The sequence below is a fragment of the Homo sapiens genome, chromosome 2, assembly GCF_000001405.40.
Source record: "Homo sapiens chromosome 2, GRCh38.p14 Primary Assembly".
NCBI classification, from domain to species: Eukaryota; Metazoa; Chordata; class Mammalia; order Primates; family Hominidae; genus Homo; species Homo sapiens.
In genome coordinates this window covers 73,254,650-73,266,853 of record NC_000002.12, presented here as the reverse complement: position 1 = coordinate 73,266,853, position 12,204 = coordinate 73,254,650, and the positions used below count along the sequence as shown (strand labels likewise).

At 57.0% G+C, this 12,204-nt stretch overlaps 1 protein-coding gene across 7 annotated transcripts in view; it reads left to right on the top strand.

Annotated features, from left to right (window-relative positions):
• Nucleotides 1-12,164, top strand: part of FBXO41 (F-box protein 41) — a 29,789-nt gene extending 17,625 nt beyond the window's left edge. For 5 of the 7 annotated variants that reach the window (NM_001371389.2, XM_047443458.1, XM_047443459.1 and 2 more), the window contains 11 exons: nucleotides 172-397; nucleotides 888-961; nucleotides 1,214-1,572; nucleotides 2,335-2,576; nucleotides 2,801-2,916; nucleotides 3,024-3,176; nucleotides 3,546-3,641; nucleotides 5,996-6,114; nucleotides 6,307-6,465; nucleotides 7,558-7,673; nucleotides 7,810-12,164. In NM_001371389.2, the coding sequence (NP_001358318.1) occupies nucleotides 172-397; nucleotides 888-961; nucleotides 1,214-1,572; nucleotides 2,335-2,576; nucleotides 2,801-2,916; nucleotides 3,024-3,176; nucleotides 3,546-3,641; nucleotides 5,996-6,114; nucleotides 6,307-6,465; nucleotides 7,558-7,673; nucleotides 7,810-7,872 (1,723 nt within the window). In that variant the 3' untranslated portion in view covers nucleotides 7,873-12,164. Of the gene's footprint in view, nucleotides 1-171; nucleotides 398-523; nucleotides 962-1,213; nucleotides 1,573-2,334; nucleotides 2,577-2,800; nucleotides 2,917-3,023; nucleotides 3,177-3,545; nucleotides 3,642-5,995; nucleotides 6,115-6,306; nucleotides 6,466-7,557; nucleotides 7,674-7,809 lie in introns of those variants that run through there. The other 2 variants (XM_011532563.3, XM_005264158.4) reach the window with 2 other exon arrangements.

Sequence of the window (12,204 nt, the reverse complement as noted above, 5' to 3'; positions counted from 1 at the left end):
TGTCATCGTGCGGGGCTGTGTGCTAGGCCTGTTCTGCAGGAACCCATGTGACCATAAGCAGACACCGCAGGCAGCTGTGCCAGTGTCTCCCCGCACTGGCCAGGCTCTCCTCCAGAGGGTGGGTGGGCAGGCAGGCTGAGGCTCTGGGGTAAGAGACTGCTCTGGGCCCAGGGAGGTGGTGCAGATCGACCAGTTCCTGAAGGAGACGGCGGCGCGGGAGGCCAGCGCCAAGCTGCGGCTGCAGCAGTTCATTGAGGAGCTCCTTGAGCGGGCTGACCGTGCCGAGCGGCAGCTGCAGGTCATCAGCAGCAGCTGTGGCAGCACGCCCAGCGCCAGCCTGGGCCGTGGAGGTGGGGGCGGTGGTGCTGGACCCAATGCCCGGGGCCCAGGCAGAATGGTGAGTGCCCACCTGCCTTCCCTCCTCTACCTGCACACCTGGCCCCCCACAACCTCACCTTTCACATGGCTGGACATCTCCCCCATGATGCCGCATTCGCCCCTTCTTTGGCTTTTACCCCACCAGCAGATGCCAGGAACAGGGGAGCCCCTTTGATTGGGCAGGAGTGCCAGTGCCAGCCCCCGAGGCTGTAGTGAGATGTGATTCGGTGGCCCCAGCCCTCGGGGGCTATCTCTGCCCATCCCTGCAAATGAGAGTCCAGGAGCCACAAGCTGGGGTCCAGGGTATTGTGTGGGTGTGGGGAGGGGCTGGTAAGCCTGCCTCTCTGGGCTGTCTGTCTGTCCATTTGTCCATCTTTCCCAACTATTTTCCCTTCTCTCTCCTCTCCCCCATCTCCTCTCCATCTTTTGCCCTGTTTCCCCTGCTATTCCTGCTCATCCTCTTGCCTCCTCCGCCCCTCTCCTTTACCTCCTGCTCTGGGGGCCCACAGCGAGAACACCACGTGGGCCCGGCCGTGCCTAACACATATGCAGTGTCACGGCATGGCTCCTCTCCGAGCACAGGGTAAGCCTTGGGCCCAGCCCACCCCATGCAGCCCACCCTCACCCTGGAAGGATCCGCTGGCCTGTCTGGGGCTTGTGTCACCCTCCTGCCCCTACCCTCCCTGGGTCACGTATGTCTGCCTTTCCACACCCAGAGGGGGCTTTTGGAAAGCAGGGCGGGTGGGTTGCCCTCAGCTGATGGTAGGGGCAGGATGGGGAGTTTGGGTAGGCCTGGTGCCTCTTACCCCTTACTGTGTGGTCCACCCTGCCCCAGGGCCTCCAGCCGTGTGCCAGCCGCATCCCAGAGCTCAGGCTGCTATGACAGTGACAGTCTGGAGCTGCCCAGGCCAGAGGAGGGGGCCCCTGAGGACAGTGGCCCTGGGGGCTTGGGCACACGGGCCCAGGCTGCCAACGGGGGCTCAGAGCGGTCCCAGCCCCCTCGCAGCTCAGGCCTGCGGCGCCAGGCCATCCAGAACTGGCAGCGCAGACCCCGCCGACACAGCACTGAGGGGGAAGAGGGTGATGTCTCCGACGTTGGCTCCCGAACCACTGAGTCAGAGGCTGAGGGCCCGTTGGATGCGCCCCGCCCCGGGCCTGCTATGGCTGGGCCATTGAGCAGCTGCCGGCTCTCAGGTAGGTCCCGGAAGGCTGGGCAGGGGGACACAGGTCTGAGGCAGTGAATCTCCTGGGCTCCTGCACCCCCCTCCCCTTTCCCCAGACTTGCCCACCCCTCCTACATAGCGCCCTTCAAGCCTGGGGCAGGAACTCTTGTGACAGGGCAGGGCTGCAGTGGCACAAGTATGCTCAGATTGTCTGTTGCACAAGGATGCCACATCTGGGGGGCAGGGGGGCCATTCACGTGGTAGGCTCATCAACATTTACAGGAGAACAGTTGAGTGTTGCCTCCAAACTCTGAAGCCCCTGGTGCAGTGGGGGAGAGGCCCCCCACCGTATTCACAGAAGGCACCACACATATGTGGGTGGTTTGGGAGGTGAGAGGGCTAGGGTCAGGGGTGTAGCCACACCCCATCTTCTGGGCAGCCCCATGCCTGCCTTCTGTTTCCAGAGGCCTGGTTTATACTCCAGCACCACCGCCCCCCCAACCCCTTTCACTCTCCAAATCTGATGTGTTGCCTCTTGTAGGGGGTGAGTTTGAATGATATATAACCTTAAAAAGGAAGTTTACACAAGGGATGCCTTTTTGTAATTTGTAAAACTGGAGATGGGGTACCGCAAAGGACAGGGAGGCAGAGGCCCCTTTTCCTTCCTCCCTAGGCCCTGGTACCACAGCATGTCCATTCCTCTGCAGATCCTACCCTGCCCCAGCTCCCCACACACATCCCCACACCAGCCTTGACCCTCCACGCTCACTTTTGAACCCCTGGTATTCTGCAGCCCGCCCCGAGGGAGGCAGTGGGCGGGGTCGGCGAGCAGAGAGGGTCAGCCCCTCACGCTCCAATGAGGTCATCAGCCCAGAGATCCTGAAGATGCGAGCTGCCCTCTTCTGCATCTTCACCTACCTGGACACGCGCACACTGCTGCATGCTGCCGAGGTCTGCCGGGACTGGCGCTTCGTGGCCCGCCACCCCGCAGTCTGGACAAGGGTGCTGCTTGAGAATGCCCGTGTCTGCTCCAAGGTACCTGCCCCTGCCTGCCTTCTGTGCCCTGCTGTGAACCCACCTTTCCCCCTGGGTAGAATCTGGCCCCTTGAGGTCTGGTCCTTGCAACCCTTACAACACTGTAATGCCAACCTGGCTTCCCTGAAATGCTCTCATGGGGCCTTCTATCCTGGGGCTGGCCCACCTCCAGCCAACCAAGTTCAGACCCCTTCATCTCCAAATGTCCTTCCCCTCCCCCACAGTTCCTGGCAATGCTGGCTCAGTGGTGCACCCAGGCCCACTCTCTGACGCTGCAGAACTTGAAGCCCCGGCAGCGGGGAAAGAAGGAGAGCAAGGAGGAGTATGCCCGGAGCACCCGGTGAGGCCTGCGATGGGTGGGTGGTGGGTGCTGTTGGGCCACAGACCTGGAATTAAGTTTCCCAGAGGAGGAGGTTGCCAGCTCTCTGACCTCTTGGTCATCCCCAGGGGCTGCCTGGAAGCTGGGCTGGAGTCCCTGCTGAAGGCAGCTGGGGGGAACCTGCTGATCCTGCGCATCTCCCACTGTCCAAACATCCTCACCGACCGCTCGCTCTGGCTGGCCAGCTGCTACTGCCGTGCCCTGCAGGCTGTCACGTACAGGTGGGTCAACCGACTAGAAGCATGGCCTGTTCCCTCTAAGCCCAGGGTCCTACCGGATCCCTAGGTGCTGCATAGCCTCCCCCAGGGTTCTCAAGCAAAGGGATCCAAGAGCTCTATGGCTGAAGGAAAGGAAGCCTTGGCAAGAGCAGAGGCCACCACTGTGGGCGACTCCAGCTTTGTCTTGTATATTTTCTTTTTCTTTCTTTCTTTTTTTTTTTTTAAATGGAGACGGGGTCTCGCCGTATTGCCCAAGCTAGTCTGGAATCCTGGGCTCAGGCGATCCCCAACCTCGGCCTTGACCTCCCAAAGTGTTGGGATTACCAGTATAAGCCACCCTGCTGCCTGACTAGCAGCTTTGTCTTTTCACAGGAGTGCCACAGACCCCGTGGGCCATGAGGTCATTTGGGCCCTGGGCGCAGGCTGCAGAGAGATCGTCTCCCTCCAAGTGGCACCACTTCACCCCTGGTGAGCCCTGGCAGGTTTGGGGGATAGGAGGGGGGACACGGTTGGGCCTGGTCTGGGGCTGAGGACTTAGCAGATCTGAGCCCATTCCACAAGCTATTAGGACAGATCCACACACATTAATCTGTCCATTGAGGCATTAGGAGCAGGGCTTTAAAATCAGACCTGGTTGGTCGAGCACGGTATCTCACGCCTGTAATCCCAGCACTTTGAGAGGCTGAGTCGGGCGGATCACCTGAGGTCTGGAGTTCGAGACCATCCTGACCAACATGGAGACACCCTGTCTCTACTAAAAATACAAAATTAGCCGAGCGTGGTGGTGCATGCCTGTAATCCCAGCTACTGGGGAGGCTAAGGCAGGAGAATCGCTTGAACCTGGGAGGCAGAGGTTGCAGTGAGCCGAGATCGTGCCATTGCACTCCAGCCTGGGCAACAAGATGGAAACTCCGTCTAATAAATAAATAAATAAATAAATAGATAAATAAAATCAGACCTGGGGTCATGTCCTGGCTTACTGGCAGTGCCACCTTGGCAATCTCAATCATGTCTTAGTTTCTCAAACTGCAAAGTAAAGGTGGTATTAGGAACTATGGACCTTAGGGCTGTTGCTCGCCCAAATGAGATCAGGTACACAAAGCCTGCAGGGTCCACAGTAATTGTTCAGTAAACACCAGCTAAAAACCACCAGCTTTGTTTGACATATGAAAGGTGGTTCAGGGAGGTCAGTGTATGAAAGAGCTGGTCATTGGAGAATCCAGGTTATGAAATCATTTCTCACTCTGTTTGGAGTTCCTCTAACACACCAGGCTCTTTTGCTCCCTACATTTTGCCTCTCTCCACGCGACAGCTCCTCCCAGTCATCCAGTGTGCCTTCTGTAACACCCTGGGTAGAGTGTGTCACTGCTCCCCTGCCTCAATCCCCACTGCATGTTGCCCTGACCCCTCTGTCATCTACTTTGCAATAATTTCTTTTTTTTTTTTTATTTAGTTTTTGAGACAGAGTCTTGCTCTGTTGCCCAGGCTGGAGTGCAGTGGTGCAATCTCAGCTTACTGCAACCTCCACCTCCCAGGTTCAGGCGATCCTCCTACCTCAGCCTCCCAAGTAGCTGGGACTACAGGCATGGGCCACCATGCCCAGCTAATTTTTGTATTTGTAGTAGAGACGGGCTTTCACCATGTTGGCCAGCCTGATCTCAAACTCCTGACCTCAGGTGATCTGCCCGCCTCGGCCTCCCAAAGTGCTGGGATTACAGGCATAAGCCACCGCGCCCAGCCCTACTTTGCAATAATTTCTTTATATTTCTATCTCCTCCACCAGATGGGTTGTTCTCAAGGCAGAATCTAGGAATGTCCATTTCTGTATCCCTAGTACCAAATGCATAATAGATGCCAGAGAGATGTTTGTTGCCTGGGCAAATGTTGAGGGTTGAAATGTTTAGGGAAATGGCATTTGGTGTGAATGGAAAGGAAAGTTGGGGCAATCAGGAAGGGCCTTGCTAAGGAATTTAGGTTTTTTTGCATTTTATCTAGAAAGTATTGGAAGCTATTTGGCGGGATTTTAGATTTTAAGAAAGGGATTAAGATCAGACTGTTAATGTTCTATGCCCCCCACAACTTCTGCCACCAAAGAGACTGTCCACTCTTTGAGGGTAGAGACCATGTCTATGTTGTCACCGCTGTACCCCCAGGGCCTAGCTCAGTTGTTGTTGACTTGATAACCACTTGCTGAATGGCAGAGTGAGTGGATGTAGGAATGAGGGGCTCCCTATCTGCAGTGTGGAGGATGAGATGCAGGGAGACTAGTGCTAACCCAGAGAATGCCAATGGTGGTCTGAACTGTGGGTTCAAGAGTACTTAAGGCCGGGCGCAGTGGCTCACACCTGTAATCCCAGCACTTTGGGAAGCCGAGGCAGCAGATCACTTGAGGCCAGGAGTTTGAGACCAGCCTGGCCAACATGGTAAAATCCTGTCTCTACTAAAAGTACAAAAAAATGAGCCGGGCATGGTAGTGCATGCCTGTAGTCCTGTCTACTCGGGAGGCTGAGGCAGGAGAATTGCTTGAACCCAGGAGGCAGAGGTTGCAGTGAGCCGAAATTGCACCACTGCACTCCAGCCTGGGTGACAGATTGAGACCCTGTCTCAAAAAAAAAAAAAGAGTGCTTGGGAATCAGAATCTGCAGGACTTGGTGGATGAGATGAGGGCAGAGGAGTCAGGGATGATCCTGGTTCTCTGACTTGACCTGCTGGGTTGTTGGAGGAATGCTTGCCTGAGTCAGGGAGGGGTCCCACAGGAGGAGCATGCTGGGTTATCAAGCATCCAGAGACTTCCCTGACGGCTCCCCCTTCCCATTCTCCAGCCAGCAGCCCACACGCTTCAGTAACCGCTGCCTGCAGATGATTGGTCGCTGTTGGCCCCACCTGCGGGCCCTGGGGGTCGGGGGTGCCGGCTGTGGGGTGCAGGGCCTGGCATCACTCGGTGAGTCTTTCCTTGGACTGGGGTGGTGGGTAGTGGGAAGCAGGCATGGGTGCAGTGCTGCCTTGTGAAATCCCACAGGGGCTTGGGGCTGCAGCCTGGGTGGTGGCAGGTGGCAGGGTGGTAGCCAGGGTGCTGGCTGCAGGGGTGACCTGGGGAGTGTGTCAGCAGGATCCCCCTTCTTCCTCTTCCTAGCGAGAAACTGCATGCGGCTGCAGGTCCTGGAGCTTGACCACGTGTCAGAGATCACCCAGGAGGTGGCAGCAGAGGTCTGCCGGGAAGGCCTGAAGGGACTGGAGATGCTGGTGCTCACGGCGACTCCCGTCACCCCTAAGGCCCTACTGCACTTCAACAGTGAGCACTGGGGGAATGAGGGGCAGGGTACGACTATCACCTGCCACGGGGCCCTGTCAGCAGGTATCCTAACTATCACTGGGGCAGATGGATCAGAGTCTCCAGCCAAGGGCAGAGGCAGGGGGACAGGTTAAGAGCACTGGTTCTAGAGCCTGACTGACCTAGGTCCCAGGTCTGGCTCTGCTACTTATTAGCTGAGTGATGTTGGGCAAGTTACTATACCTCTCTGAGTCCTGTATTCCCATCTTCTAAGCTGACTTTCTAGGATGGGTGAGAGGATTAAATGAGATGATATATGGAAGCCCCCCCAAGGACAGTTCTCAGGGTGAAGACTCCTCTCTCCCTGGACTCCAGATCATACCTCCTTGGCTTCCACACCTTTCTCAAACCACCCACTCCACTCTCAGTCACTACTCCACCTGCACTGAGGACCTGGCACCCAGTGTGGGCTGCTCCTGCCCAAGGAGACCACCAGCCAGGACCCTTTGGCTCCTGAGAGGACCCCATGCCAACTGCGCCAAGGTGCCTTGACCCTCTTTCCAAGACCTTCCTCCCCCTTCAGCCACATGGGATACCCTGGACTTTACCACCAGAACTAACTGCTCAGCCTCCAGAATCATGACCTCCAGGCCCTTCTCAGTCGCCTGATCTTCCTCTACCTCCCCCGACTTCACGACATATCCAGTCCCTGAAGCCCTCTGTCCCCAAGTATTTGCCCCACCTCCCCCTCCTTTGTGCTTCAGCCTGGATCCACGAGCCCCACCTCAGCCACTCTGTTCCTTGCCATTCATCCCCAAATGCCCAGACCATGGTATAGCTGCCCCCTGTGTCAGGGAAGTTCCTAGAGGCTTTGGACAGCTGGTGGCTGCCCACTCACCCTCCCAGAGGCCAATGCAGCCTCTCCTGTGCCTCAGCCCCATCTACCTCTCCCCGCATCCGGTCGCCAGCCCCCAGGTGGCATGAGTCTGCTCTCCTCTGTCGTGTTCCCGGTAGCTGGCACCTGATTGTCTGATTTCATTAATTAGTGAGAGGAGAGGAGGCAGCTCCACAGCCCAGGCCAAACACGCCCCTACTTTGCTCACCTTTTCTCAGGCATCTGCCGGAACCTCAAGTCCATTGTGGTCCAGATTGGGATTGCGGATTATTTCAAAGAGCCCAGCAGCCCTGAGGCCCAGAAGCTGTTTGAGGACATGGTGACAAAACTCCAGGTGAGGGGTCAGCTCTGAGGCTGTCCAAGACCCCAAGTGGCATCCCTAGACTGGGGCTGGTGACCTGGGTGAGTGTGGCAGGAGGGCCCCACCTGCCTGGCACGGAGGGAGAACTAACCCAGGGTTCGGTCCGCAGGCTCTGCGACGGAGGCCCGGCTTCTCTAAGATTCTGCACATCAAGGTGGAAGGCGGCTGCTAACCCGGGTAGGGGGCGGCAGGGCCCCTGCCAGCCCCACACCAGGGCACTCTCTTTGGACCTCAGAGGGACCCTGGTTTGGACTAGACCTTTGGAGGCCGAGTGTTATCCCTGGCTTCTGGAGGGGGACTGTCAAGTCTCCTGTCCTCCTCCTGGAGCAGCAGAGCAACAGGCCTGACCCAGGGCACTGCCTCCCCAGTACAGGGGCTTGGACAGAAGCTGCCCTCCGACCCCCACCCTACCCCGGCTGGAGTAGCCTCTGGCACAGCCAGTGAGGAGCTGTCACCACCAGCGCCTGGTGTCATCACCTGGAGGATCTGCAATAACCACCCAGTGGCTCCTCAGCTGTTCTGGCTGGCCTCTCCTTCCTGAGGCCCAGCCTCCTGGTCAGGAGCATCTGGGGCCCCAAGCCAATGGGGGCTCCACAAGGCAGCTCAGACTTGGCAAGGAGGGCTCTTCTCCTCAACCTTGCTGCAGCCTTCTGGGGGCACCCCTTCAGACAGCCTGCCCAGGCTGTGGATCCACATTTCCTGGGGGTACCACAGCCAGACCTAGGGGCCTGGGCACGTGGTCAGCCAAAAGCTGGGGGCAGCAGTACAGTGGGGTAGTGGGGGTGGGTTTGGAAAGGAAACAGTCACCCAGAACTTCTCCCCAGGATGAGACCACCCTTCCAAGGTGGGGGATTGCCAGGGGGAGAAAACTTATTTATTGCTGTAAGACAGGACCCCTCCTCCCAACCTCATACCCCACCGCACACCAGAGCTAAATTCAAAGCTGAAAGGCGCACGTTTCTATACCTACATTCATTCCTGAGGGACCCTCCAGAGGGTCAAGGTCCCAGCCCCAGGCAGCCCTGTCACAGTGAGAAGTAGTTCCTGTCCTTAAGGAATTTCCTTCTAATCCAGGTGCTTGGGCAGGAACCCGATGGCCTTCGGGTCACCAAGGCTGTCTGGGAGGGAGGCACAGGGCCGCCCTCTGTGCTGAGGCCGTGGAGGAAGCCAGGAGGAGGGTGGCTTGCTTTGCTTCCTTGTCTAATTAGCTTGCTTGAAGATGTGGCCTTGGCAGGGAGCCAGACCCATGGGGCCAAGGAAGAGGAAGAGCATCCTCAATAGACTCACTCCCCCTTCCTTGGTCTCCACGGGCCCCGTGGACTGAGGGCTGCATTGGGGTCTTCTGCCTAGGGGAAGTGCTGGACCTGAGCTGGAGCCACTTGGCTTAGAAGCCACAGGATTCACTTTTCACTGGCCTTTGCAGTCCCCAAAGGATCAGGTCTCAGAACCAAGGCTCCAAAGGCTGAGGTCTCCCCAGTTCCTCCTCTCAGAACTCCCACAGTAGCTCAGAGGCCGGGGGTCCTGCCAACTTTCATTTGGAAAGTTCTTTCGAACATCTAAACTAGATCTATCTTAGGGTTTCTTTCTCTCCTAGATAGGATCAGCTCCCAGCCCTAGCCATTAGGCTGCTGGTCCTGGCGGGGGATGGGGTCCCCTCGTTACCCAGTCCTTCCCAGGGACCCAACTTCCTAACACAACCTGGCTTGGACATGAAGACCCTCCCCCAGGTTACCTTGTAAAGAGTCCTCCAGAGCTGGGATCCCATGGGCGCAGCAGCACACCCAGCTCCCATGGCGTCACTCCCTAGCTCTGTCCCAGCTTTTGCTATCATTGCTGACTTTTCCTCCTGTGGCTCATTCTGTCCCTGCCCTTTGAAAACCTAAAATACCAAGGGTGTCATGCTGGCAACTCCCTGCCCAGTCCTGCACAAAGCCTTGGCTGTGTGTGGCACCCCTTGCCTCCTACCCCAGAGCAGCTGGCTCCATTGGCTTCTCCCTGCACCAGCCCTGTCCTCAGGGGTCAGGAAAAAGCAGCACAGCTTTCTTTCCTCTCCTCCAGAGGCCTGGAAGGGAGGTGGAGGTCCAGTAAGGGCCTGGCTGCCTTGGATTTCTTGGTCCTGCCTTGCCAACTGCACCCTGTAGCTCCTGCTCCCTGTGACCCCAGAACCAGAGGTGCTGCCTTCCCTGTCTCCTAGACAAAGCACAAAGGGATGCCCTGCTTGGCTTGAGCCTGCCCAACTGAAGGATTTTCTCTGCCCCAGGGACCTTCCATCCCTGAATACAAGGCTCTAGGCAACTTCTCTCTGGGTGGTACACACTAGAATGCCTGGCATTAGCCCTAGAAAGGAGGTTGGGGTGTATGGGTAGTGAGCTAGGGTGGGAGAAAGGTGGTGCTGAAAGGACAGATGCTAGTTGTAGTTTCACTCACTCATTCATTCATTAGTGCAACAGTACTGAGCACCACCTGCACTAGAGGCAGAGGGGTGAACAAGATACCCTTCTGCCTGGGGGGACGTCCACTTCCCATGGGTTTGGCTATTTCCAGGAAAGCCCCTCAGTCCTCCACCCTGTTCTGGCTGTGTGTGAAGGATGTGTGTGAGCAGGCCCAATCCTTTGCAGCAAGAATGAGAGGTCAGAGTATTCCATTGCACACGCACCCTGGGGCTGACAGACTTGTGCCCCCTAGCCTTCATGCATGCCCAAGCACTGGCAGCTTTGCAGCCCCTGCCCCACCAGCCCCTTGACGCTCTTCTTTTGTTCTCTCCTCGGGGATGAGCTCTGCTGCTGAGTAGGGAGCTTTTGCTTGCTGGGAGGCTCTATGCATGGATTTTTTTGGTGACCATACAGCTAGGGCTGAGGATGGGAACAGGGACAGAGGGCCTGGCTATCCCTAGAAGCACTTCATCCATCTTTACCCACCCAAACGGGATCCCTTCACATCTCATACCCAGTAAGATGCAAGAAAGGAATATCTGAGAGCAAGCAGCCCTGCTCCAGGGGCCCCAGGTATGTGTAGAGGCCCAGTGGGGGTGGCCACTTGGTGTTTCTACCACCCCCTGCCATCCAGTCTGGCCCCAGTACCTACCTGGGAGGTTGGTGTACTTGGCTTAAGTACTTCATGCTTTATTCAGGCTGCTTCCCCACAGCACCGGCAGGAAATGAAGGTGCACTTATATGCATCCCTGCAGGAATAAAGAGTGGGTGGCCTGCCCAGCCCAGCACCACAGCCTTTCCCCAGCCAGGAGAGACCACCTAAGGATCAAGGCAGCTCCTGTTTTCTTGGTTCTGTGACACTCGAGTCTGAGCCAGCCCCTCAGGAATTGCCTCAAAAGAGAAAAACAAAAAAAAGTCCTCCTTCCCAAGGCCTGCTACTCCAAGGTTTGGCTCCATCCCTTGCCTTTGGGTCCTGCCTATTTCCCCACTCCTGGTCTCTTATCTTTGGGGCCACCAGTGGGGAGTCACCCGGGCCCCAATCCCTCTAAGGCGCTAAGTTGAAGGAGGCCTTCCCAGAGTGACTATTGGTGCCAAAGTCCCAGTTCCTGTTGGACTTGGGGTAAAAACAGGAGATGGTGAGTGGGTGTAAGGCCCAAATGCCCAGAGAAGTTAACTCGAACCCATGGGACCTGTCCCAGCCTGTCAGTCCCTGATGAGTGTAACTTCCTTCCCCTGGGGGCCTGGCCCTTCTCTCCAACCCAGTGGCCATGCTTTCTCACCCAGCCTTGTGCCCGGCCTGCATTTCTGTATATATTGCTGTGTATTGTGTGTATGTATGTATTCCTGGACAAGTGTGTTCATCTGCAGCCCTTGCCTGAGGATAAGGTTTAGGATTGGGTAAAGATCAGAATACCAGGGCCAGCTAAGGCAACGACTCCCTCCCCAAACCCTTGGGACCTCAGCCAGTCCCAAGGCTGCCCTGACAATCAGGCAGGCTCCCCACCGTGAGGCCAAGCCTCCTCTGCCACTGCCAGCATGGCCCAAGGGAGGCTTGGCCTTGGGCTTGCCAGCCTCAGCTCTGCCCTGACAAGGGTCTTGTATCCAGGGCAGAGGCCTGAGGTGACCCAGGCTTGCTTTGTGGCTGATGCCAGCAGGCTTGGTTCTAGTGGGCACCACTGGTGGGCAACCTCCATAACTGGCCCTTAGGCCCTACCTTCCTACACAGCTAGGCTATAATGGGCCTGAGTGAGAGGGTAGCTTCCCCAGCCCCAAGCACAGGCAGAGGGGTGGAGAGCAATTTTTGGTTTTATTTTTGTTTCTGAAGTGGTGCCTGTACCTCCAGCCCCCAGGGGGCCTTCCCTGGCCACACTTCTCTGCCCCACCCAGGCATCGCCATCCCAGCACTTTGCTCCATGTCACCCGTAAGATGCCCTTTGCTGAATGTACCTGAGTGTATGTATTTAAAAGGACTCACATGGGCATCAGAGAATTTATGGCTCTGTATCCAATAAAAAAGATGGTGAAACTGGTCTATCTGCCCCAGAGAGGTAAATGGTATGTGGCCACACTTA